This window comes from Homo sapiens, chromosome 11 (assembly GCF_000001405.40).
Source record: "Homo sapiens chromosome 11, GRCh38.p14 Primary Assembly".
Classification (NCBI taxonomy): Eukaryota; Metazoa; Chordata; class Mammalia; order Primates; family Hominidae; genus Homo; species Homo sapiens.
This window is the reverse complement of record NC_000011.10, coordinates 102,045,970-102,070,243: the sequence shown is the minus strand read 5'-3', so window position 1 is coordinate 102,070,243 and position 24,274 is coordinate 102,045,970. Positions and strand designations below refer to the sequence as shown.

Below are 24,274 nucleotides of genomic sequence, written 5' to 3'. Positions count from 1 at the left end.
GGAAAATATAGGTAAGGGAAAGCAGTCCATACTTAATTGCTCTCTGGGTGTGCCACATGTAACACTTGCATATCTCCACTTCCTTCCTTCCTCCCTCTTTCCCTCCCTCTGTAAGAAAATGATGATGTGTTATTGAGGCCCATGTTTGCAACTATCTGAAGATCTGGCTTAAGAGAAAGGTGAATAAAGTACTTAGGAATGAATAGTTAACACATTTCTTACATGAATACTCTCATATATTGAACTGATTAGGCTGTGCAATTTTTGGGGGGTGGAGGAGACAGGGTCCCACTCTGTTACTCAGGCTGGAGTGCGATGGTGCCATCTTGGCTCACTGCAGCTTCAACTTCCTGAGTTCAGGCAATCCTCCCACCTCCGCCTTCCAAGTAGCTGAGACTACAGGTACACGCCACCATGACCAGCTAATTTTTTTTCTTTTTTTAGATGGAGTCTCGTTCTGTCACCCAGGCTGGAGTGCAGTGGCGCAATCTCAGCTTATTGCAACCTCCGCCTCCTGGGTTCAAGCGATTCTCCTGCCTCAGCCTCCCTAGTAGCTGGGATTACAGGCGCATGCCACCATGTCTGGCTAATTTTTGTATTTTTAATAGAGTCTGGTTTTCACCATGTTGGCCAGGCTAGTCTTATACTCCTGGTCTCAAGTGATCCACCCGCCTCTGCCTCCCAAAGTGCTGAGATTACAAGCATGAGCCACCATGCCCGGCTAGGCTGTGTAATTTAAAAAAATATAATAATTTTTAAAAATTTTTTGGAATGAATGTGAAAACATAATATTCTATGGCTTTTCTCCCTCTCCATTCACATACAGATCTCTTCAGCTACGTAGCTCTTAGAGGTCACACTTCTGAGCCACAGTCAGGAAAGTGGTTATTAGTACTTACTACATTACAGTGAGGCAATACAATCTGTAGTGCTGCACAATGGGGGACCCTTTTTAGTTCAGGCTGAAGCTGGATGTTAGTTTTATTTTTTATCAGCCAGAAAGCAACCAAGTTAAAAGCCTTTCCTCCCTATTGCCACAGAGTAGCAATGAACCCAAGAGCAAGCCATACAGGCAACTAGTAGAAAAACACTGAGCTCCAGCATTTCATGAATAAAGGTGCTATTCATGGCAATAAATAAGACAGACAGCAAGCAGTTTTGCAGAGTATTCTGTTGGAAAACTAATACTTCTTTTTTAAAAAAAATGTCCACTGATGATGCTCTTTCTGTAGAAGTGACAGTGAATTATCTAAAATTAGAGGTAAGGGTCTTTAGACCCTTATGCCAGAGAAGAAGTGTGAGAGAGAAGAGCTGACAGTAGTATCCAAAAGGAGGGAAACCCAGACCAAACATTTCCTGATTAGTAATTTCCAATCCTTGGTAAGGAGAAGTAGAAATTAATATGAGATCCCTACTGCATAGTATTTTTTGTTTTGTTTTGTTTAATTTCTTCTTTTGAGACGAAATCTTGCTCTTTCACCTAGGCTGGAATGCAGTGGTGTGATCTCAGCTCACCGCAATCTCTGCCTCCCGGGTTCAAGGAATTCTTGTGCCTCAGCCTCCCAAGTAGCTGAGATTAGAGGCACCCACCACCACACCTGGCTAATTTTTGTGTTTTTAGTAGAGACAGGGTTTTGCCATATTGGCTAGACTGGTCTCGAACTCCTGACCTCAGGTGATCTGCCCACCTTGGCTTCCCAAAGTGCTGGGATTACAGAAGTAAGCCACCACGCCCAGCCATGTATATTATTTATATTATCTCATGTTAGATATACTTCATTTACCTAAGAGCAAACTATATGTAGTCTCATTCAATTGTGTGTATTTGGGTATTCTCAGTAAGTTAATTTTATTTTCTTCTTTAACTAAGTTAATGAGTGCTTTTAGGTATTGCCTTAGTGTAGACTGGTTGGATACCTCCCTTTCTCCTACAGACAAGATTCCTGTGTCCGGAATGATGGATCAGTAGCTTCCCTAGTTCACTGCTATCTGGATTTGTAATACATCAGACTTGTACGTCTCCCTTCTCTCTTAATTAAGGATAATAATAACAGTAGTAATTAATAGTAGTTGTTAATATTTTGGAAAACTTACTAAGCTCCAGCCATTGTGCTAAGCAGAGTAAGTGCATTATCTCACATAATTCTCACATTATGCCTACTTTATAGATGAAGAAACTGAAGCTTAGAGAAGTTAAGGATCAGTTACTAAGTGACAAAGACTGGATTTGAACATATGGCTATTTGACATGAAAGCCCTCATTTTTAACTACTTTAATACTCTCAATAATTGTAACGATGATAATATCAATAATACATTTCTTTTTTCTGTTTTTTAGAGACAAGGTCTCACTCTGTTGCCCAGACTGGGGTGCAGTGGCACAATCATAGCTCACAGCAGCCTCAAACTCCTGGGCTCAAGCAATCCTCCCACCTCAGCTTCCCAAGTAGCTGGAACCACAGGTGCGCTCCACTGCACCTGGCCTATTTCTTCATATTTTTGTAGAGATGAGGGTCTTGCTCTGTTGTCCAAGCTGACATTTCATTTTAACAGCATTTGATATTTCTAAAAGGTACATGTAAATGCTTCAATTAATTTTCTCAATGATTTTAGGAAGAAGGTAGAATGGGCACTTTCATCTTCATGTTGTATAGATAAGATCTTGAGGCTCAAAAGATTGAGAAATTTGCCTAAGACTATTATCTTCTAAATAATAAATCAGGAATCAGGTAAATAATCTATATAATTTAATTCCAAGTTCAGTGTACTTTTCACTGAAACAAATTTGAATTTAGTTAATCCAATGGCTTTGTTGATATTAGCAATGAGATAAAAAGATTCTTTTACTCCTGGGATGTTTTTATTTATTTATCTAAGTTTATTTTTGAGACAAGGTCTTGCTCTGTCGCCCAGGTTGGAGTGCAGTGGCATGATCACAGCTCATTGCAGCCTTGACTTCCCAGACTCAATCTTCTCACTTCAGCCTTCCGAGCAGCTGGGACTTCAGCCTTCCAGGCAGCTGGGAATACAGGTGTGAGCCACCAGCCTTGGCTAACTTTCGTAGTTTTTGTGGACAGGGTTTTGCTATGTTGCCCAGGCTGGTCTTGAACTCCTGGGCTCAAACCACCCACCTGCCTCAGCCTCCCAAAGTGCTGGAATTACAAGCGAGAGCTACTGTGCCCAGCTCCGGGATGTTTTTAATATTCATTTGATAAGTTAAAAGGCCCACATTGAGCAAAAATGGCCTTATTAAATAGGCCAGGACTTTCCTGCTTCAGCACTATAGATAATTTGAGCCAGATAACTTTGTTGTGACTGTCCTGTGAGTTATATGACGTTTCGCAGCATCTCTACCCATCAGATGTTAGTAGCACCTATTTGAGAATTACTAAAATACACAAATAATTAAGTTGATGGTTAAAGTGCCATCTAAGTAGAAATCTACCAATGTTAGGATTATTACCGATCATTACTTATAAATAGGTGGTATTTTATGACAAGGTATTTTATGCTTTAAGCAGGCAAAGTTTTTGCCATTTTTGCATTTCCTGAAATAAAATTCCACTGCGAAATTTTAAAATTCTGTACTTACTCTTCGTAACTCATCAGAAATGAGAAATGGATCACAAAAAGAATCTAAACATTTAACAATATGTCCACTGTCTCGTACAATATCTTCATCATATAACCGATGAAAAAATGACATTGAAAGCTGTGTGCAAGGAACATTTATAGCTTCAATTTTTTTCACTTCAGTTCCTGAAAAAAGATATTTTATAAAGAATGGAGATAGAAAAATTAATTTAGTATTCTCAACTATTTCCAAAATAAATCGCTATGCAGAAATTCTAAGAAGTTAACAAATATGACATTTTTGATATATTTAAAATATATATTAGTTTATGAATTTTGTTAAATTCTTATTTTGTAGCTTCTTCATTTCTGTTAATCATTAAGAGTTTATAACAAGGTCAGGCATGGTGGCTCATGCCTGTAATCCCAGCACTTTTGGAAGCAAAGGAGGGTGGATCACTTGAGGTCAGGAGTTCGAGACTAGCCTGGCCAATATGGCGAAACCTCGTCTCTACTAAAAATACAAAAATTAGCCAGGCATGGCTAATTAGCCAGGATTACAGCACACACCTGTAATCCCAGCTACTAGGGAGGCTGAGGCAGGAGAACTGCTTGAACCTGGTGGGCAGAGGTTGCAGTGAGCCAAGATTGCGACACTGCACTCCAGCCTAGGCTGCGTCTCAAAAAAAAAAAAAAAAAGTTTATAACAAAATCTCACCATTTCTGGACTAGATGAATATAAATTAGAGGATACTTAAAAATGAAATACATTTTAAAAAAATGTAGTAGAGGATTCTTAATGCATATATTATCAGAATTGCCTATAAAAGCATAGGAATTGCTTCGTATGATTTTTTATTCCTATTATGCTTAATGCTTTATAACTCACTTTTTTTTTTCTTTGAGATGGAGTTTTGCTCTTGTTTCCCATGCTAGAGTGCAATGGCGTGATCTCGGCTCACCACAACCCCTGCCTCCCTGGTTCAAGCGATTCTCCTGCCTCAGCCTCCCGAGTATCTGGGATTACAGGCATGTGCCACCATGCCTGGCTAATTTTGTATTTTTTAGTAGAGATGGGGTTTCTCCATGTTGGTCAGGCTGGTCTTGAACTCTCGACCTTAGGTGATCCGCCCGCCTCGGCTTCCCAAAGTGCTGGAATTGCAGGCATGAGCAACCGCGCCTGGCCACAAAAATTTTAATTGATGAGCATTTGTAAAGTCCTTGAGTGTATCTTGAAAACATTTTCTCTTCATTTAAAAATTTCTTAGCTGGTGTGGTGGGTCATGCCTGTAATTCCAGCACTATGGACAGCCGAGGCAGGTGGATCACTTGAGGTCAGGAGTTTGAGACCAGCCAGGCCAGGAGTTCGAGACCAGCCTGGATAACATGGTGAAACCCCATCTCTACTAAAAATACAAAAATTAGCTGCATGTGGTGGCAGGCTCCTGTAATCCCAGCTATTCGGGAGGCTGGGAAGTGGAGTTTGCAGTAAGCCGAGATGACGCCACTGCACTCCAGCCTGGGTGACCAAATGAGACTCCATCTCAAACAAACAAACAAACAAAAAATTTCTCCCTTGGGATCTCATTTATAGTATTTACTATAAAAGACGGTTTCTAAGTGAAGGTAAATTTCAAATCAGGCCCTAATCAAATTATCACAAATTCAGAATTACAGAAAACTGAAATAACGGCATTTTGTCTATTTTTCTCTTGTAGACTTAGTTTTGCCCCATCCTCCATTCCCTATCCCACACTTATTTCCTGAATTTATCATTCAGGAATGGATTTTCTGCTACTAGAGGTCCCATTAAATTACAGAAAGTCATAAAGATTAAAATGAATATTTTTATTATTACCTCCATCGATCACTGAATCAGTCTCTATGTAGACACATATACACACACTCTCATTCTGATAGAACAGTGGTGGTGTTCTTTTGTTCAAAGCTCTAAGATTGTAGACCTAGGTGTGGTGGCCCTCGGTGTATCCCTACCCTGGATACATTTGCTGGATCTCTGACCTGAGAAGTAGCTTGTGCTTAAGAAGAGTAAGTAATGCTGGTGAATGTTTACACTAGCTCTTTTGGCTGTCCACTTGAGAGTCATGCTAGGACCTGTTATTCTATGTCCTGAGCTGGGCTCATGTGGAGGCATGAAGGATGCCTGGAGCCAGGAACTGTGTATGCCTCAGTAATTGCAAAAGCTATGCTGCTAAGAAGCTTCCTTTGTTTAGAGGTAAGATCCTCTGAGGGATTAGATAAAGAAAAAAGGAGACCATAGGAAATGATAAGAGGAGTTCTAGGTGATGTTGAAAGTCCAAAAAAACAAGACCAGTGTAGAGCCCGATAGTTTCTGAAGATTGGTCAGTGGACACAGGAGGAGGGACTGACATCGGGCATGCCATTTTAATTAGCCTACCCTAGGTCTGATTTGGGGAGTGGAAGGAGGGTTTGGATGGTGAAAAAATATGATTAAGTTCAAACCACTTAATAAGAGATATGAAAATAGCATTTGCTGTGGACTGAATTCTATCTCTTCAAAATTCATATATTGAGACATAAAAAATAGCATTTTCTATGGACTGAACTGTATGGCCAAATATTCATATATTGAAGCTCTAACCCTCAACGTGATGGTAGTTGGAGATGGGGCCTTTGGGAAATAATTGGGTTTCAATGAGGTAGAAGGAGGGATGGTCATGGGACTTCAAAATATGAATTAAGAAAGGCATAGTTCAGTCATTGAGTCTATAACATGTAACCACTAGGACCCCAAATTCATGTTCTTCTCACATGCAAAATACACTCATTCCATTCCAACAGCCCCACAAACTTTTTTTTTCTTTTTTTCTTCAACAAGGTCTCACTCTGTCACCCAGGCTGCAGTGTGGTGATGTGATCATGGCTCATTGTGGCCTCAACTTCCTGGGCTCAAGTGATTCTTCTGCCTCAGCCTTCTGAATAGCTGGGACTACAGGTGTGTGCCAACACAGCCAGATAGTTTTTTGTAGAGATAGGGTCTGCTGTGTTGCCCAGGCTAGTCTCAAATGCCTGGGCTCAAGTGATCCTCCCACCTTGGCCTCTTGAAGTGTTGGGATTACAGGGGTGAGCCACCTTGTCCTGCTCCCAAAATTTTCACTCATTCCAGTATCAACTCTAAAGTCCAAAGTTTCTTCTAAATATCATAAAAATTGGATATGGGTAGACTTGAGGTATGATTCATGCTAAGGCAAAATTCCTCTCCAGCTGTAAACCTGTGAAGAAGGACAAGGTATGTGTTTCCAAAATACATAGGTGGGACAGACATAGGCTAGTCATTTCCATTCCAAAAGGGAGAAACAGGAAATAAGAAAGGGGTGACAGGTGTCAAGCAAGCCCTTAACGTAGAAAGTCAAATTCCTTTAGATCTTAAATGCTCAAGGATAATCTTCTTTGGTTTGATACTCTGCCTCTGGACCCACCGAGGTGGCAGTCTTGCTTCTACCCTGGTGGCGGTAGAGCCCTGAAGGCTCCGGGTGGCCCAATCTCCAAGGTTCCACAGGGCCAATTTAGCCCGTATGTTCTGCAGGGTGGCCCTGCCTCCAAGGCTTTGGTTGGAGGCCATCTGGCCTGTTGAAATGGAGGCAGTGGCCCTGATGGCCCTGAAGATCTCTGAATTGCTTCGGGGTCTTTCTAACCTTTTCTTGAAGAATAGCGCATGTTCACAGCCCAATAGCTCTATGGTCCAGTCTTGCAGGATCTAAGAAGGCCAACAGCCTTCCTTCATCTCATCTCATTGTTCAAACTAGCAGAGTCTTTGCTGCTGATATAATTCCATCTCTATTCCTGACTTCTGTTGAAATGGCTCATTAAGTCCATAAGTCATACCCATGATCTCTTTATCAAATGGCTGTTCAGTGTTCTGAACAGTGTTCTCTTCAGAACAAACCTTCTCATTTTTTACAATAAGGATAGGTTGAAAACTTTCCAAATCTTCAAATGTTTGTTCATTTTTGGTTAACAATTCCTTCTGCAATTCATCTCTCTTCTTTCATACTTTACTATAAGCAAGACATTACTTTAAGACTTTGCTTAGAAATCTCGTCAGCTAAATCTCCAATTTCATCACTTATAAGTTCTACCTTCCATAAAACAATAGAAAACAGTTCATCCAAGTTATTTGCCACTTTATAACAAAGATCACCTTTACCCCAGTTTCCAATAACATATCCCTTATTTCCTTGGGCGCTATCACCAGAATTGCCCATAGTGTCCGTATACATGCACCTCAAGCTTCCATCCATCATTCAGTTCCAAAGCCACTTCCACATTCTTAGGTATTTGTTACAGCAGCTCCTCACTTCTCAGTACCAAGATCCATCTTAGTCACCTTGGGCTGCTATAACAAAATGCCATAGTCTGGGTGGCTTAAACAATAGACATGTATTTCTCAAAGTTTTAGAGGCTAGAAAGTCCAAGGTCAAGGTCCAGATGATTCAGTTGCTGGTGAAGGCACTCTTCTTGGCTTGCAGAAAATTGTCTTCTTTCTGTGTACTTAGATGGCTCTAGTGCTTTTACTTCTTATTATAAAGGCATTAATCCCACCATGAGGGCCCCACCCTAGTGCCCTCATCTAAACCTAATTTATTTTCCAAAGGCCCCATCTCCAAAAACCATCACATTGAAGGGTTAGGGGTTAAACATATGAATTTAGGGGTGGGGACACAACTCACTCCATAACACATGCTATTTTTTATGTAGGAATTTCATTAAATTATGTCCCCAGCATTTATAAGACATGTAATGCATCACTATGATCACATACAGAAAGAACACAGTTTTTCCCTAGTACTAGCATTATAAAACACTGGGTGCCTCCTTATCATTCGGTGTCTTAAGTTAGTACTTTTCTGGCAACCCCATCAACGTGGAAGTGACAGAGGCAGGAGAGTGAAGTGGTGAATGTCTTCAATTCTGGATCCTCTGCTCACTCAGTCGAGTAAAACTGCACACATTACTTAGCTTATGCCTCTGACTATTCATTTGTAAAATAGTGATATATAATACTACCTTTCTTGCATTGTTTCATGAATGAAAGGAGTTAATGTGTATGATGCCCTTAGCTGAGCACATAGGAAGCATCCATTATATGTTATCAAAAAAAGACAAAGTGTATCTAAACATAGGAGCTATGGCGGCTGGCTGAGAGGATAAAACAGCACCGACAACTGGCAATCTCCAGGGAGTGCAGCACAGTGAAGGAGGTTCCATCATCACTTTCTTTAGAACTGGTTCACTTCCCAAAAGAATGTCTCTTCACCTATTTTAAAAAGCTGCTTCTTTTGCTTTAAAAGGGCCCCAGAGGAAAATAAGAGGGGGGTATTTCAGAAAAAGAAATATAGCAGAAAAAGAAAAAGTAAAAGGAGATAAAAATGAGCTAGTGGAAGAGTACTAACATTCCACTAGAACTTCTGCTTCTGAAATAGTGTTATTATTCTTCTGTCCTATTTTTCAGAGTATCTATAATTCATCAAGTCAGGCACATGAGACATTTGAGAACCTCTTTTTGCAATGATTTTTTCAAAAATTAGTATAAAGTTAATGCTATTTTGTGTATGTACTAACATGGGGAGAGGGTTGAGCACTTATTTCAGTGAGCCTTATTTTTTCAAATAGATTGACTGAAGTTACTGTAAACATGTTTTCTAAACACTGTGATACATGGCTCTGATTATTTCCTTTTGAAAATTTTGAGTTGGGTAAATATATTCTCTCAGATACTCAGTTTAATTTTGTAAGTAGTCTGTACCAGCTTTTCGCTCTATAAATTTTGCAGTAGTCTTTAGCCAAAAGCAATAAAATCTGACCTACTAAGTCTAACATCATGAACTGTTTGTAATCTTGTTCTTGACTAATACTTTAAGTTACTTTTGTGTAATTTACCAAAATACACCCCTAAACAAAAAAAATCTAATTTAAAATGCATTTTATTGAGTATAAATCCATATCACCAATCAGATTCTCCTTCTAAATGGAACGTTGCTTTTATTCATTCTGTTGCTAAGATAATCTCAACCTAAAATTTAAAATATAGCTTTCATTTTTTTTTCCCCAAAATAGTCTTATATTAACTCTGCTTTCTTCCTTGTCCCAAGAGTTATTGAAGGGACTTAAGTGAGTGCTACTAAGTGTTTAAGTGTTTGGGTAATTTTCTTAAAAAAAATTTCTGGCTCTTTCAATGTATTATGAAATAATACATTATGAAAATATAATCTAGCTGGGCGCGGTGGCTCACACCCATAATCCCAGCACTTTGGGAGGCCAAGGCAGGTGGATCACTTGAGGCCAGGAGTTTGAGACCAGCCTGGCCAACATGGCGAAACCCTATCACTACTTAAAAAAAAAAAAAAAAAAATTTAGGCTGAGCGTGGTGGTTCACGCCTGTAATCTCAGCACTTTGGGAGGCCAAGGTTGGCAGATTTACTTGCAGTCAGGAGTTCAAGACCAGCCTGGCCAACATGGCGAAACCCCGTCTCTACTAAAAACACAAAAATTAGCCAGGTGTGGTGGCACACACCTGTAATCCCAGCTACCTGGGAGGCTGAGGCAGGAGAATCGTTTGAACCTGGGAGACGAAGGTTGCAGTGAGCTGAGATCACACCACTGCACTCCAGTCTGGGTGACAGTGAGACACTGTCTCAAAAAACAAGTAAGCAAAAAACCAAAAATTAGCCAGGAATTAGCCGGGTGTGGGGGCCCATGACTGTAATCCCAGTTACTGGGGAGGCTGAGGCATGAGAATTGCTTGAACCCAGGAGGCACCACTGCACTCCAGCCTGGGTGACAGAGTGAGACACTGTCTCAAAAAAAAAAAAAAAAGTCCTGTGGTTGGCTGATTCCTCTGTGAGAAATCCATGTACCCATGTACTCATCTCAATTTAGATTTTGCCCAAATATCCCAATATCAGTGGACTCTTTCCTGATCTTTTCCCTCTGGGCAGAACTGACCATTCTTGCCCACACTTTTACATTTTTTTTAGTTTTTGAGGCATTCTTGCTCTCTCACCCAGGGTGGAGGGCAGTGACACAATCTCAGCTCACGGCAACCCTCCACCTCCCAGGTCCAATCAATTCTCCTTCCTCAGCCACCAAGTAGCTAGTATTACAGGTGCTCGCCACCACGCCTGGCTAATTTTTGTATTTTTAGTAGAGATGGGGTTTCACCATGCTGGCCAGGCTGGTCTTGAACTCCTGTACTCAAGTGATCCGCCCGCCTCAGCCTCCCAAAGTGCTGGGATTACAGACGTGAGCCACCATGCCTGGCCCTTGGCTACACTTCTATGGTAGCACCTTTGACATATTAGTACATACACACACACACACACACACACACACACACACACACACACATTTTAACATATCAAGTTCATTTAGTACAGGTTTTCTTATTTACCTTAATGTTCCCTATATCTAGCAGAGTACATGGAAAATACACAATAAATACTTTTATATGAATAAAAAGAGAGAAAAATTGCTCTTATGTGTTAAGCCAGCATAGTAGCAGTAGACTCCCAGGAAAGAGATGCAGGGCAGGTCTGGCACAGCTGGTCATATTTGATCTTGATGTATCAAACAGATGAGTCATTCCCAATTTATATTTTAATAATGAAAATTCCTGAGGCAAAATTTTCTTATAATAGTAAAATAGTATCTGAAAAGATGAAAATTTTATTTACCTAATATGATCCATTGTCCAGAAGAATCTGAAAGTAACTTCAAATTGGGAATAACATTTGGGTCTTTGAAAAAAGCCTAAAATACAAATTTGAGGGGAATAAGTTAGATATTTTATTATAAATGATAGTAAAAATTAACATAAAATAACTATAATCTCCTTTAATTCAAATAGAAAGGACAATTTTAAATTGGTAAAATGTCTGAGTAATAAAGAGTTTATAAATAAATGAAGTTTTATTACATCCAACTTGGAACAGTATGAACATTGTGTGTCCAAGTACAGATGTCTTTGGAACTTAATTTAGAAAATAATGATATAGAGTAAACATTAGGAGGTTATATAATATTTGAAAACTTTGTTTTCCTTCAATCTTGCTTATTGAATTGCCTTCGTAACAACTGACATACTAGATCTAAATCCAAAAGTAACTGTCAATTTAATTCTTTCCAAAAGGCATGTAAAAAAGTGAAAAATCTAACTTCCTAAAAATGAAACGTTTTCTGTATGGCAAAAGACAACAAAGCAGGTAAGAGTTTTAGTTCCAGATCCTTTTGTAGTTTATGAGCATGATGACTGGGTTTTCACAGGTATGTGTGAGATGTGCCATCCTCGAACCTTGTTATGATGTCGGCATATTGTCAGTCTGACATGAAATAAGAAAAAAATATATAAAATAAAAAAGAGCTTTAGTTCTTGGCACCAGCAGCTGACTCAAGCTGAAAAGGCAGAAGAAAATTTATTAGAAGCATCTCAGGGAGTCCACAAAATGTTCCGGGGGTGGAGGGCATCAGGCTGAAGGCTGGACCCAGGAACAATCCAAAATCATATGCAGAACTGCCCTCATGAGGAAACTGTCACCCTTGCTGCAGCCCCACGAAGCACTACAGTTGATCTTAGCCAAAAGGCTGAGAAGCGATAGCCCCATCAAGCACTAGAGGAAGCCACCATCACCCCTTTCTCCTATTCAAGTACTAACCAGGCCCAACCTTACTTAGCTTTCAATATCAGGTACATCGAGGATGGTATGGCCATAAACATCAAGTACTAACCAGGCCCAATCCTGCTTAGCTTCCAGCATTCAGGGTGGTATGGCTGTAGACATCACCATCACTCCCTTCTAACCTAGGCCATTGCTGTGCCAGGTCTGTCTGGCCTGAAAGTGGTCTCTGCCACTACCTTTGCCAAAGAAATGAATTCTGTGTGTGCCTCCTTCCTTAAGTTGCTCACTTCAAAATTCCAGTCTTGCACTGATGAGTCTGTTTGTAAACCTAGGTCCCACGCTTACTATCTGGATGCAAGGGAGTTCCTTGCATTTTGGGAGGTTTCACTTGGACTTCCCAAAAGTTACTCCCAAATTGCATGGTTGTTTACAAGGTGCTGGACAGCCAGAAAACATAATGTCTGTGAAGAGCAATAAACAAAAGAAAAATAATAGACTGAGAGAAAATATTTGCAACACATATGTTAAAACGGAGAAACTGACATCCTAGTGATTAAAAAAAAAAACTAACTGTAAGAAAAACTGACAAACCTAAATTTTCTTCTGCCTTTTCAGCTTGAGTCAGCTGCTGGTGCATGGAACGAAAGTTTTCTTTTTTTCTTTTTTTTTTTTTTGAGATGGAGTTTCGCTCTTGTTGCCCAGGATGGAGTGCAGTGGTGCGATCTCGGCTTACTGCAACCTCTGCCTCCCGGGTTCAAGCGATTTTCCTGTCTCAGTCTCCTGAGTAGCTGGGATTACAGGTGTGTGCCACCATGCCCGGCTAATTTTTTGTATTTTTAGTAGACAAGGGGTTTCACCATGTTGGCTAGGCTAGTCTTGAACTCCTGACCTTGGGTGATCTGACTGCCTTGGCCTCCCAAAGTGCTGGGATTACAGGCGTGAGTCACCGCACCCAGGCTAGCTCTTTTTTATTTTATAATTATTTTTCTTTTCTCATGTCAGAAGGGTAATGTGCTGACATCATCACAAGGTTTGAGGGTGGCACATGTCAGCAAAGGATAAAAATAGGCATATAAAAAATAAAAATAGGGCCAGGTGCGGTGGCTCAGGCCTGTAATCCCAGGACTTTGGGAGGCCAAGGTGGGTGGATCACTTGAGGCCAGGAGTTCAAGATCAGCCTGGCTAACATGGCGAACCCCGTCTGTACTGAAAAAATACAAAAATTAGCTGGGCATGGTGGCACACTCCTGTAATTCCAGCTACCCGGGAGGCTGAGGAATGAGAATTGCTTGAACCTGGGAGGTGGAGGTTGTAGTGAGCTGAGATTGTGTCACTGCACTCCAGCCTAGGTAACAGAGTGAGACTATCTTAAAACAAACAAACAAACAAAAAACCCAAAAAACAAACAAACAAACAAAAAACCCCACAAATAGCCAATAAACTTTAGGAAAAGATGCTCAATTTCAAGAGCAGTGAAAGAAATGAAAATAAAATCCAGAAGATACCACTTTTATCCATTACATTGCCAAGATTTAAAAAGACTGGTAACTTTTGGTGAAAGCACCAGAAGACATGCACTTTCACAAGCTGCTGGCAGAAGTGTGAATCTTTATAACCCTCTGGGAAAGTAATTTGCTATTATCTTGAACAATAAAAACATGCATATCTCATCCAACAAACTCTACTTTTGGATTCTGAAACCACCAGTGGATAAGATTTAGGTATAAGGAGTTTTTTGTTTTAATATAGTATGGTTTGTAGTGTCAAAACTTGGAAACAATTTCAATGTCTATCAGTAAAAAAACAGTTGAATAAAACATAGTCCATCTATATCAGACAGAATGCAGCTATTGGAAAGAAAGTATTAGAATAGAATGTAAGCTCCCTAAGAGGAGGGGTCCTGTTTTTCTTATTCACTGCTATCTCCCAGGACTTAGAACAGGGCCTAACATATAGCACTTACTAAATAAACATCCCCTGAACAGACTATGTATTGATTTTGAGGAAAAACCATAAATACTTTCAGTTAAAAAAGGGTAGTTTAGGGCCGGGCGCGGTGGCTCATGCCTGTAATCCCAGCACTTTGGGAGGCCGAGGCGGGCGGATCACAGGGTCAGGAGATTGAGACCATCCTGACTAACACGGTGAAACTCTGTCTCTAAAAATACAAAAAATTATCTGGGCGTGGTGGCGGGCGCCTGTAGTCCCAGCTACTCGGGAGGCTGAGGCAGGAGAATGGAGTGAACCCGGGAGGCAGAGCTTGCAGTGAGCCAAGATCGTGCCACTGCACTCCAGCCTGGGCGACAGAGCGAGACTCCGTCTCAAAAAAAAAAAAAAAAAAAGGGTAGTTTAGGAGTAATGTATATGGCCAGGTGTGGTGCCTCACGCCTATGGTCCCAGCACTTTGGGAGGCTGAGGCTTGAGCTCAGGAGTTCGAGACCAGCCTGAGCAACCTGGTGAAACCCCATCTCTACTAAAAATACAAAAAATTAGCTTGGCACAGTGCTGTGCACCTGTGGCCCCAGCTACTCGGGAGGCTGAGTTAGGAGGGCTGCTAAAGCCCAGGGGAGTGGAGGTTGCAGTGAGCTGAGATCGCACCATTGCACTCCAGCCTGGGTGACACAGTGAGACCCTATCTCAAAAAAAAAAAAAGAGTAACGCATGTGGTAAAACAAAATAAAACTTTTATACATTTATATGAGCATAAAGAAAAGTATGTAAGAATATGTATCATAGGCCGGGTGCGGTGACTCACACCTGTAATCCCAGCACTTTGGGAGGCCAAGGCAGGCAGATCGCGAGGTCAGGAGTTCAAGACTAACCTGACCAACATGTTGAAACCCTGTCTCTACTAAAAATACAAAAATTAGCTGGGCGTGGTGGCACGTGCCTGTAATCCCAGCTACTCAGGAGGCTAAGGCAGGAGAATCGCTTGAATCCCGGAGGCAGAGGTTGCAGTGAGCTGAGATCGCACCACTGCACCCCAGCCTGGGCGACAGAGAGAGACTCTGTCTTCAAAAAAAAAAAAAAGAATATCAAACTACTTGCTTCAGAAGTGGTGGTTACACACTCGTGAGGAGGGTTGAGAGGGTAGGGAGTAGGAGTAGATTGGGATAAGACTGACTTTTTCTATGAATTATTCTTTGTTGTTCAAATTGTTACTATAAATAGTTTCATTTTTTCAACATTCCCTTCAAGTGATCACTCACTTTTCCCTCTTGAGAGAGGAATACCTTCTTCAGAGAGGAATCTAAACTGTCTCACTTTTTTTTTTTTTTTTTTTTTGAGACCAAGTCTTGCTCTGTCATTCAGGCTGGAGTGCAATGGTTCGATCTCAGCTCACTGCAGCCTCCACCTCCTGGGTTCAATAGATTCTCCTGCCTCAGTCTCCCAAGTAGCTGGGACTACAGAAGTGCGCCAACACACCCAGCTAATTTTTGTATTTTTAATAGAGACAGGTTTGCCATGTTGGCCAGGCTGGTCTTGAACTCCTGACCTGAGGATCCATCCATCTCAGGCTCCCAAAGTGTTGGGATTACAGGCGTGCACCACCGAGCCCAGCCTCACTTCTCTTATCTACTTCTCATTCCTCTCTATCTGGTTCCTGCTCCTATCACTTAATGAATAGTACCTTTGACTTCCTAATACTAAAATCCAATGGACAGTGCTTGCCCTCATGGGCAGGCAGATAGTAAGAGAGGAGATAGTAACATGCCATGTATACTACAAAAAAGCGCAGGTGCTATCAAAGTACAAAATGGGCAGACATAATCTAACGGCATTGGGAAAAAATGTTCATATAGAAAGAACATTTAGGTTTAGATCAGAAAGTTGAGTAGGAGTTAGCTGGGCAAAGGGGTATACTGGTAAATGTTTAACAACTGGCCACTCTTCCTCCCCTAAAAAGCCCTGATTGTGGCGTTTGCCTGTTTCCATGGTGGATTTCAAGTTGCCAACAGTGTAACAACCAGCAAACAAAGATTCCTGAAAGTCTAGCAATCAGGCTCTCCTAAACTGGTTCCAGTATGCAACTGGAATTACCATTTTTTAAGGGAGAGAAAATGGTAAGTATGAAGGCTGTAAGGTGAGAAAGGATGATACATTCCATTCAAGGAAAGTGAAGAGGTTTGGTGTGACCCAGAAGCAGCAATGGTCAGATAAGGCTGGGGAGTTAAATTGACCTTGCAGTCAAGTGAAGAATTTTAATCTTGATCTAAAATCGATCTAGATCTTGATCAGTATTTTGATCTAAGGGCAGTGGCAAAACACTGAAGTTCTTTTTCTTTTATAATTTTATAATACGGACAGAGTCTCACTTTGTTGCCAAGCTGGTCTCAGACTCCTGGCTTCAAGTGATCCTCTTGCCTTAGCTTCCCAAAGAGCTGGGATTATAGGCATGAGCCACGACACCAGCCACACTGAAGGTTTTTGTTTGTTTGTTTGTTTGTTTGTTTGTTTGTTTTTGATGGAGTTTTGCTCTTGTTGCCCAGGCTGGAGTGCAATGGTATGATCTTGCCTCACCGCAGCCTCCGCCTCCTGGGTTCAAGCGATTCTCCTGCCTCAGCTTCCCAAGTAGCTGGGATTATAGGCACCCGCCACCATGCCCAGCTAATTTTGTATTTTTAGTAGAGATTGGGTTTCTCCATGTTTGTCAGGCTGGTCTTGAACTCCCGACTTCAGGTGATCTGTCCACCTCAGCCTCCCAAAGTGCTGGGATTATAGGCGTGAGAGCCACTGTGCCCAGCCTTTTTTTAAATTTTATTTTTTAATTAATTATTTTTTTTTGAGAAGGAGTTTCACTCTGTCGCCCAGGCTGGAGTGCAATGGCGCAATCTCAGCTCACTGCAACCTCCACCTCCCAGGTTCAAGTGATTCTCCTGCCTCAGCCTCCTGAGTAGCTGTGATTACAGGCACCTGCCACCATGGCCACCTAATTTTTGTGTTTTTTAGTAGAGACAGGGTTTCACCATGTTGGTCAGGCTGGTCTTGAACTCGTGACCTCAGGTGATCCACCCGCCTCAGGCTCCCAAAGTGCTGGGATTACAGGCTTGAGCCAGTGCGCCTGGCCAGACTGAAGATTTTTAAGCAGAGGAAAGAGTTATCAGAATCATCTATTTTTCTTTAAAGTTCATTCTGGCTGCAGCGTGGAGAATGAATTGAAGGGCTGGAAAAAGACTAGCTAGGAGGAAGGCTACTGTTGTAATCATGGAAGAGCTGATGTCCTCATCAGTCAAGGAGATACCAAGTGGGGAGGTAGAGAAGTAGATGGATTTAATGTTATTTAGGAGGAAGAAACAAATGGAGAAGGAAGATGACTCCTTGGATTCCTCTTCATGAAAAACCATTTAATAAATGCTATTTAACAAGAAAGAGAACAGAGAAGAGATGTGAGCTGAGGATTATTTACAAATGTCTACATTATGCCAAGCCAGACACAGTCCCTGTTCTTATGGAATTTACATTCTAGTGGTGAAGAACTAAAGGTAAACACATTTTTTTCAAAAAGGTATCATATATGCTTAATTATAAAAAGACAAATTTTCCCCAAAGTTATTTCTAGACAAAAAGCAAGTTGCCTTATGACATTTTAGTCTTTCAAATAAAAGAATATTCACGCGAGTATTTTAATTTATATAATGGTACATTTTGAAAAAGATACATAAACTGGAATTAACCTCAATTAATATTGGTTTTGAATGCATTTTATGCCTTCTGAAAGAATCTCTTAAAAAAAGAAAATTTAATTCAGATTTAGTAATTATTCCTGGAGGTTATTAACTTAACAGTTACATGTTAGATGTCATTATAAATGGAGCAGCAGGTCAACTGGCCTGCAGTGAATTGAACTAGAACCAAAGGAAATGAGTCTTTATAAGGGACCCTCAAATAAGGCAATGCAAGTTACATTATTGAGATTACAATTATATGTCTAATAAGTGAATTTTTAAAAAATGTCCTAATACATGTAAATTGCATTTCTGGCTTGTTATGGAATTTCCAGTAAGGCATTAGAAGAGATTTTCTGTATATCAACTTTAGGAAAGCTGACTGTGCTTTGGAAAAATATAAGATGATTCCTAAACTAGTTACAGTAATAACAAAGATACTGATGTCAAAATGCATGTGAAAATGTTAAATAAACTTGTTTCATAAAATGTGAAAGTGGGCTGGGTGTGATAACTCACACCTGTAATCCCAGCACTTTGGGAGGCTGAGGCAGGAGAATTGCTTGAGCCTGGGAGTTTGAGACCAGCCCGGGCAACATAGTGAGACCCTGTCTCTATTAAAAATAAACAAATAAATAAATAAAAATGTGTAAGGGGAAAAAAGATAAGTTTCTCTATTTTTAATTTTCTTATTATTTTAATTTTTACATCCAGCATGCATACTGGACAGACAATATTTCTAAATTATTTAAGTATATATTTGACTATATTATCTATCTGGCAGACTGATGGTTTCTAGTCCAATATCAATTCTTTCTTCCTTAAGGAATCCCATTTTTATTTGGGACAGCAATATGCTTAGCTTAGTCTGCATTTCCAGCCTCCCTGGGATGTGGGAGGCCTAAATTCTGGTCACATGCCTAAGTTCTGGTCATGAGATGTAAGCAGAAGCGTTGCGCAGGCTTCCAGGAAAGCTCTGTAAATTAAGGCGCTTCCTTGAAGTTGTTTATGTGGAAAATTCTCCTCATCATCCCCAGTCCCATGGTGAAGATGTCAACACTATATACTGGGCCCAGAGCTTTCTTGAAATTCAAAGTTAAATGTTATATTCAACTATCTAGAATACTGCCACTTGTATGTACCTCGAATTCAGCATGCCTGAAACTGAACTCATTTTCCTTGTAATTCTTCCATGTTTTCTACACATTTAATGACATCATCAGCCACTCGAGTCAACCAAGCCAGAAACTTGGGAGTCATCCTACATGTCCCCCTCTCCTTTACTCTCAATATCTTACCATTCCTTAAGCCTTTCTCCTAAATCTGGGCCATACTGGTACTTGACATTATCATGTAACTGTCTAGAGGACAACAGTTTCCAATTTGGTGTCATTACTTCCTGACTCAGTCCTAACAACCCACCCTCCACACTTCTGCCAAGGTGATCTCAATATTTTAACATTTAAAGTCTGTCTTAAAAACTTCTCCTTCTTAGCCAGATAAAGTCCAAATTTCTTTGCATGGCACAAAAGGTCTTCTAAAATATTATCCCACCCATCTCTCCAACATTATCCTTGCCACTTCATCTACCTGATGAATTCCTACTCATCTTTCAGGCCCCGCCTTAAGAGTCCTGTCTTTTATAAATGCTCTTCTGACCACCTCAGTCAAAAATGATCACTTTCTCTTTTGTGTCACCAAAGTACCTTATGCCTCAGGTATGTATTTTATCACTTCTCTCTCTGCAATGCAATTTTTGGTATTTCCCTCCCTTTAATTGTGTCTATTCATCTATATAGACCTAGGAACTAAAGAGATGTTTGCCAGATAAATGTTTCCTTCCATCCATTTATCATCTCAGAAATACATTTTTGGAACATAATTTGTTTTTAAATTGAAAGGGAAAATTCAAAATCTGGAATTCTAGTTTAAACAATACCCTCTGTTCAGTAGTGAGTTTTTGTTGTAGAAACAGCATGGTTTCTAGAGTCAAAATGCCTGGGTTCTGCCCTTTGTTGAATGTTTTTGCATAAATTATGTAACCTTTCTGAATTTTAAGCTATAAAATGGGAGTCAGAACACCAAACCTGGCAGATTGTTGTAAAGATTAATGATAAACATAATATAAAAAGTGCTGACAGCTGAATCTGTGCACACTGGAGTCACTACTGCTATAGAAAAATACTTCATAAAGTAATAGAGAAATTATTTTTTTTTTGAGACAGGGTCTTACTTTGTCACCCAGGCTATGGTGCAGAGGTGCGATCATAGCTCAAGTAATCCTCCCACCTCAGCCCCGCAAGTAGCTAGGACTACAGGTGTGTGCCACCACACCCAGCTAATTAAAAAATTTTTAAAAAATAGCCACAGGATCTCACTATGTTGCCCAGGCTGGTCTCAAACTCCTGGGCTCAAGTGATCCTCCTGCCTCAGCCTCCCAAAGTGCTGGGATTACAGTTGTGAGCCACCATGCCCTGCCTCAGACTTTTTTTTTTTCTTAACATTTCTAGCTCCCCAAACTATACATGCCTTGTAAGCTGGGATCAGGTCTCTTCATCTTTTTATACCCTCTAGAGGGACACAGTAAATATTCAACAAATATTTATTGAATAAATGAATTATACTAAAATTTTTACAGTATTCTAAAATTCAGTGTCCTCAAATCCTGATCTTTAAAAAAAATTATAGACAGCCAGTACTGGTATAAATAAAAAATATAAAAAACTACATAATAATCTAACCATGAGTATTTGAGAAATGTTATTAATGTCATTATCAGTAGCATTATAATATAATGGCACTATAACACCATCTTAGGGAAAGGGAGGTAGACATTTAACCAATTTACTCTCTGTTATGGGTTGATAGTGTCCCCCCAAAATTTACATCCTTCCTGAAATATCACAAAGTGACCTTAGTTGGAATTAGCGTTGTTGCTGATGTAATTAATTAAGATGAGGTTATGCGGGGCCCTTAATTCAATATGACTGGTGTCTCTATAAGAAGAAGAGATGCAGACATATGAAGGGAAAAGGCTATGGGACTGACAGGAAGAGAAGAAAGTTCTGCAGCTGCAAACTAAAGGACGCCAAGGGAGGGTGGCAACCGCCAGAAGGCAGGAAGAGGCAAGGATGGATTCTCCCCTACAGGTTTCAGAGGAATGATGGCCCTGCCAGCACCTTGATTTAAGACTTCTAGCCTCCAGAACTATGACACAATCCTACCTAATGTTCTCCTTTCTCCATTTCCTCCTATTTTCTTTACTGCCCTTATCACTATATGAAATAATCAGATTGTTTTTTCATTTATTGTAGTCTTGCCAAGGCCCGTACAATCTTTGACAGCTGGGCTCTTGTCTTGTTCCTCCTCGTATCCCCAGCACTGGAAGGAATTCCTAGCACATGATAGGCCCTCAGGAAGTGTTTGTTATGCCAAACTATAAACTACAGTCAATGCATGAAGGACATGAATGGCAGAGAATGAAGATAACTTCATAAACTGTAACAGTATTTTCCATTTGATTGAGGAGAAAAAAAAAACAGGATTGAAAATAATGGACTAAATTTTAACAAACACACCAAAACTTAAACTTTCAAGTGAGTTTTACCTCTCTCAAAGTAGTCACCTCTAGTAGTCAAAAGACTTATTCAAATCACTGTGCTACGGCTTCATACTTTTTTGGGGGAATTCCTCATTTGGAACTGTTGGTAGAGCCTGAAGCCCAGTTCTCAGAGTGGGTGTGATGTTGAGAAAAAAATCGAAAGTAATTTGGAGCTAGTAAATAAAGCGGCGATAAAGCTGTGTGATAATATTTAAAATATTTTAAAATGAGATGTGCCTATTGAAAAAGAGAGGCTGGGGGTGGTGGCTCGCCTGTACTCCCCAGCACTTTGGGAGCCCGGGGATTCAAGACTAGCCTGGGTAACATAGTGAGACTCTGCCTCTAAAAAAATTTTTTTTAATTAGCTGGACGTGGTGGCCTGCACCTGTAGTCCCAGCTATTCAGGAAGCTTGAGCCCGGGAGGTCCAGGCTGCAGTGAGCTGAGATGGTGCTACTGCACTTTATTCAGCCTGGGTGACAGAGAAAGACCCTGTTTCAAAAAATAAGTAAATAAAATAAAATAAAACAAAATAAAATGAAACAAAAATAAACAAAGGGAGAAACTAATCTTCTAGAGAGCGCGCGATCTTCCAGAACTGCAAAGTTCCCCGAGGCAAGATACAAGATGCTGAAAGTAGAGAAAGAATGAACTAAATGGCAAACAAATTTATGATGACTGATTCGAAACGTAAAAGTTCCTTTAAAAAAATCATTTGCACCTTTTATTACTCCCAAACGCCAAGAAAACGACGTCAGTAAGGAATAGCGTGTTCACAAGAATCTATGCCAACTTGGGGGGAAGTTTAAAAATCCGCAGAGACCCAGGGAACTCTCCGACCCCCATACTAACCATAACGAAATCATCCTTCCGATAGGACTGAAAGGTCTGGTCAAAGCCGAACGCCTGCGCCTTGATTCTGCCCAGCATGGACCTGGGGCAGAGGAGGAAAAAGAAATCATCTGGGGGCTGGCACCCTCTCAGAGCGCACCGATAACCGATCCCACCCACAGCATCCGCCCTTCCCGGGTGGTTCGGGGTTCACTCAGGAAGCCTCAGGGTTCACTCAGAATGGCGCCGACCCGCGCGGGCCCCTCGACGCCCGGCCTGCGCCTCCACAGCCGCGAAGACCAAGGGCCTCTTCTCTCCCTGTGCCTCGGTTCCTCACCACTGGCGGAGCCGGCTGGTGATCTCCTTAGAGCTCAGAGACTGGAAGGTTTTCTGAGGCAAGAACCTGAAGTAGTAGCCACCCAAGTCCCCGAGCTCCCCAGTAGCCATCGTGCTCTCGGCTGGGTGGATGCCTGGGCCGTTTCCATGGAGACGCGGCGGCCGTCGTGTCGGAGCGACGCTGCGGGGGCGGGGCCACACGTCTCTAGGGACCCAGGAGTTCCGGCCTTGCCGCCGCGGGTGCAGGGAGGGAGGTTAGCCTGTCTTTCCCAGGAGCTTGTGCCACTCCACTCCCCAACCCCGGGCTTGGCGGTTAGGGAAACTAGGGGTCGGGGATGGAGACAAATTGCCAATCGATACTTGTTGACATTAACTTTTAATAATAATTACTCAGCATGGGTTAATATTCTAGTCTCAAGAGCTATAACCTCAGATTTACAGTTATCTACGTTTGATGACTCAAACGTTTCTGAAGAAAAGATTATTCTGAATTAATTAGGTTTATCTATTTTGGAAGACAAATGTCTATGTGACTACTTAGGAAACTATTCTGTTTTACCATCTGTTTTTTTTTTTTTTTCCTTAAAATGTACACTTGAAGGCCAAAAAAAAAAAAAAAATGTTTCCATACACAGTACATTACAACATGCTGTTTATTTATTTTTGTTTTTTAGACCACTTTTGTTCTGGTATGCGTGCTGTTTAATAGAAAACACACTTTTCTTATTTTCTATTGAAAATTATCTTCGTTTCTACTTTTTTTTTTTTTTGAGATGGAGTCTCGCTCTGTTGCTCAGGCTGGAGTGCAGTGGCGCGATCTCGGCTCACTGCAACCTCCGCCTCCCGGATTCAAGTGATTCTCCTGCTTCAGCATCCTGAGTACCTGGGATTACAGGCTAAGTTTTTGTATTTTTAGTAGAGACAGGGTTTCCCCATGTTGGCCAGGCTGGTCTCGAACTCCTGACCTCGAGTGATCCGCCCGCCTCGGCCTCCCAAGGTGTTGGGATTACAGGCTTGAGCCACCGCACCCGGCCTGTTTCTATGGTTTTTATTTTTGCCTTATAGCAGTGCATTTGGACTTCAGAATGGAGGGATAGTTCTTTTCCATCTCGTTGCTTTCTCTCCTTTTCCCCTAGCCCTTAAGAACTTGATTATTTTTTAACAGCATTAGCAGAAGAAGAGACAGGGAACAAAGACAAAAAAGAGAAACAGAGGGAGAGAGAGATAGATTATTCCTTTTCATTGATGTTTAGTATTCTGTTACTTGACTATACTACAGTTTATCCTTTTGGGCTGTTTCCTCTTTGAGGTTGTTATGAAAGCAGCTATGAACATTCCTGTGTATGCCTTTAGATGGACTTATGCACCATTTCTGTTGGAAATACATCCAGGATTGGAATTGCTCAGTTACATGGCATAAGTATGTCTAGCTTTACTACATACTGTCAAAAAGTTTTCTAAAGATCAGTTTACATCCCAACCAGCAATGAATGAGATTTCCCGTTGTTCAACATCCTTGCCAACACATAGTATTGCCAGTCTTTTAAAATTTTAGCCATTCTAGGGAGTTTGTATTAATTTTTTATTGTGATTTCAGTTTGCATTTCCTTGA

General features: G+C 40.9%; 1 protein-coding gene, 1 non-coding gene and 2 pseudogenes across 10 annotated transcripts in view; 1 reads left to right on the top strand and 3 right to left on the bottom strand.

Annotated features, from left to right (window-relative positions):
- The window catches only part of CFAP300 (cilia and flagella associated protein 300), a 37,118-nt gene extending 14,311 nt beyond the window's left edge, over positions 1 to 22,807 (bottom strand). For 8 of the 9 annotated variants that reach the window (NM_032930.3, NM_001441265.1, NM_001441267.1 and 5 more), the window contains exons 1-4: positions 22,664 to 22,807; positions 22,348 to 22,429; positions 11,289 to 11,364; positions 3,593 to 3,759 (exon numbers count right to left, since the gene is read on the bottom strand). In NM_032930.3, the coding sequence (NP_116319.2) occupies positions 3,593 to 3,759; positions 11,289 to 11,364; positions 22,348 to 22,429; positions 22,664 to 22,773 (435 nt within the window). In that variant the 5' untranslated portion in view covers positions 22,774 to 22,807. The remainder of the gene's footprint in view (positions 1 to 3,592; positions 3,760 to 11,288; positions 11,365 to 22,347; positions 22,430 to 22,663) is intronic. The other variant, NM_001195005.2, reaches the window with a different exon arrangement.
- Positions 11,836 to 11,939, top strand: LOC124902830 (small nucleolar RNA U13). The gene has a single exon (XR_007063015.1). It is a non-coding gene; the product is annotated as a small nucleolar RNA U13 (small nucleolar RNA).
- On the bottom strand, positions 12,284 to 12,390 carry RNA5SP535 (RNA, 5S ribosomal pseudogene 535; annotated as a pseudogene).
- LOC124902842 (uncharacterized) lies at positions 13,227 to 13,317 on the bottom strand (annotated as a pseudogene).
- Positions 22,808 to 24,274: the final 1,467 nt, after the last annotated feature.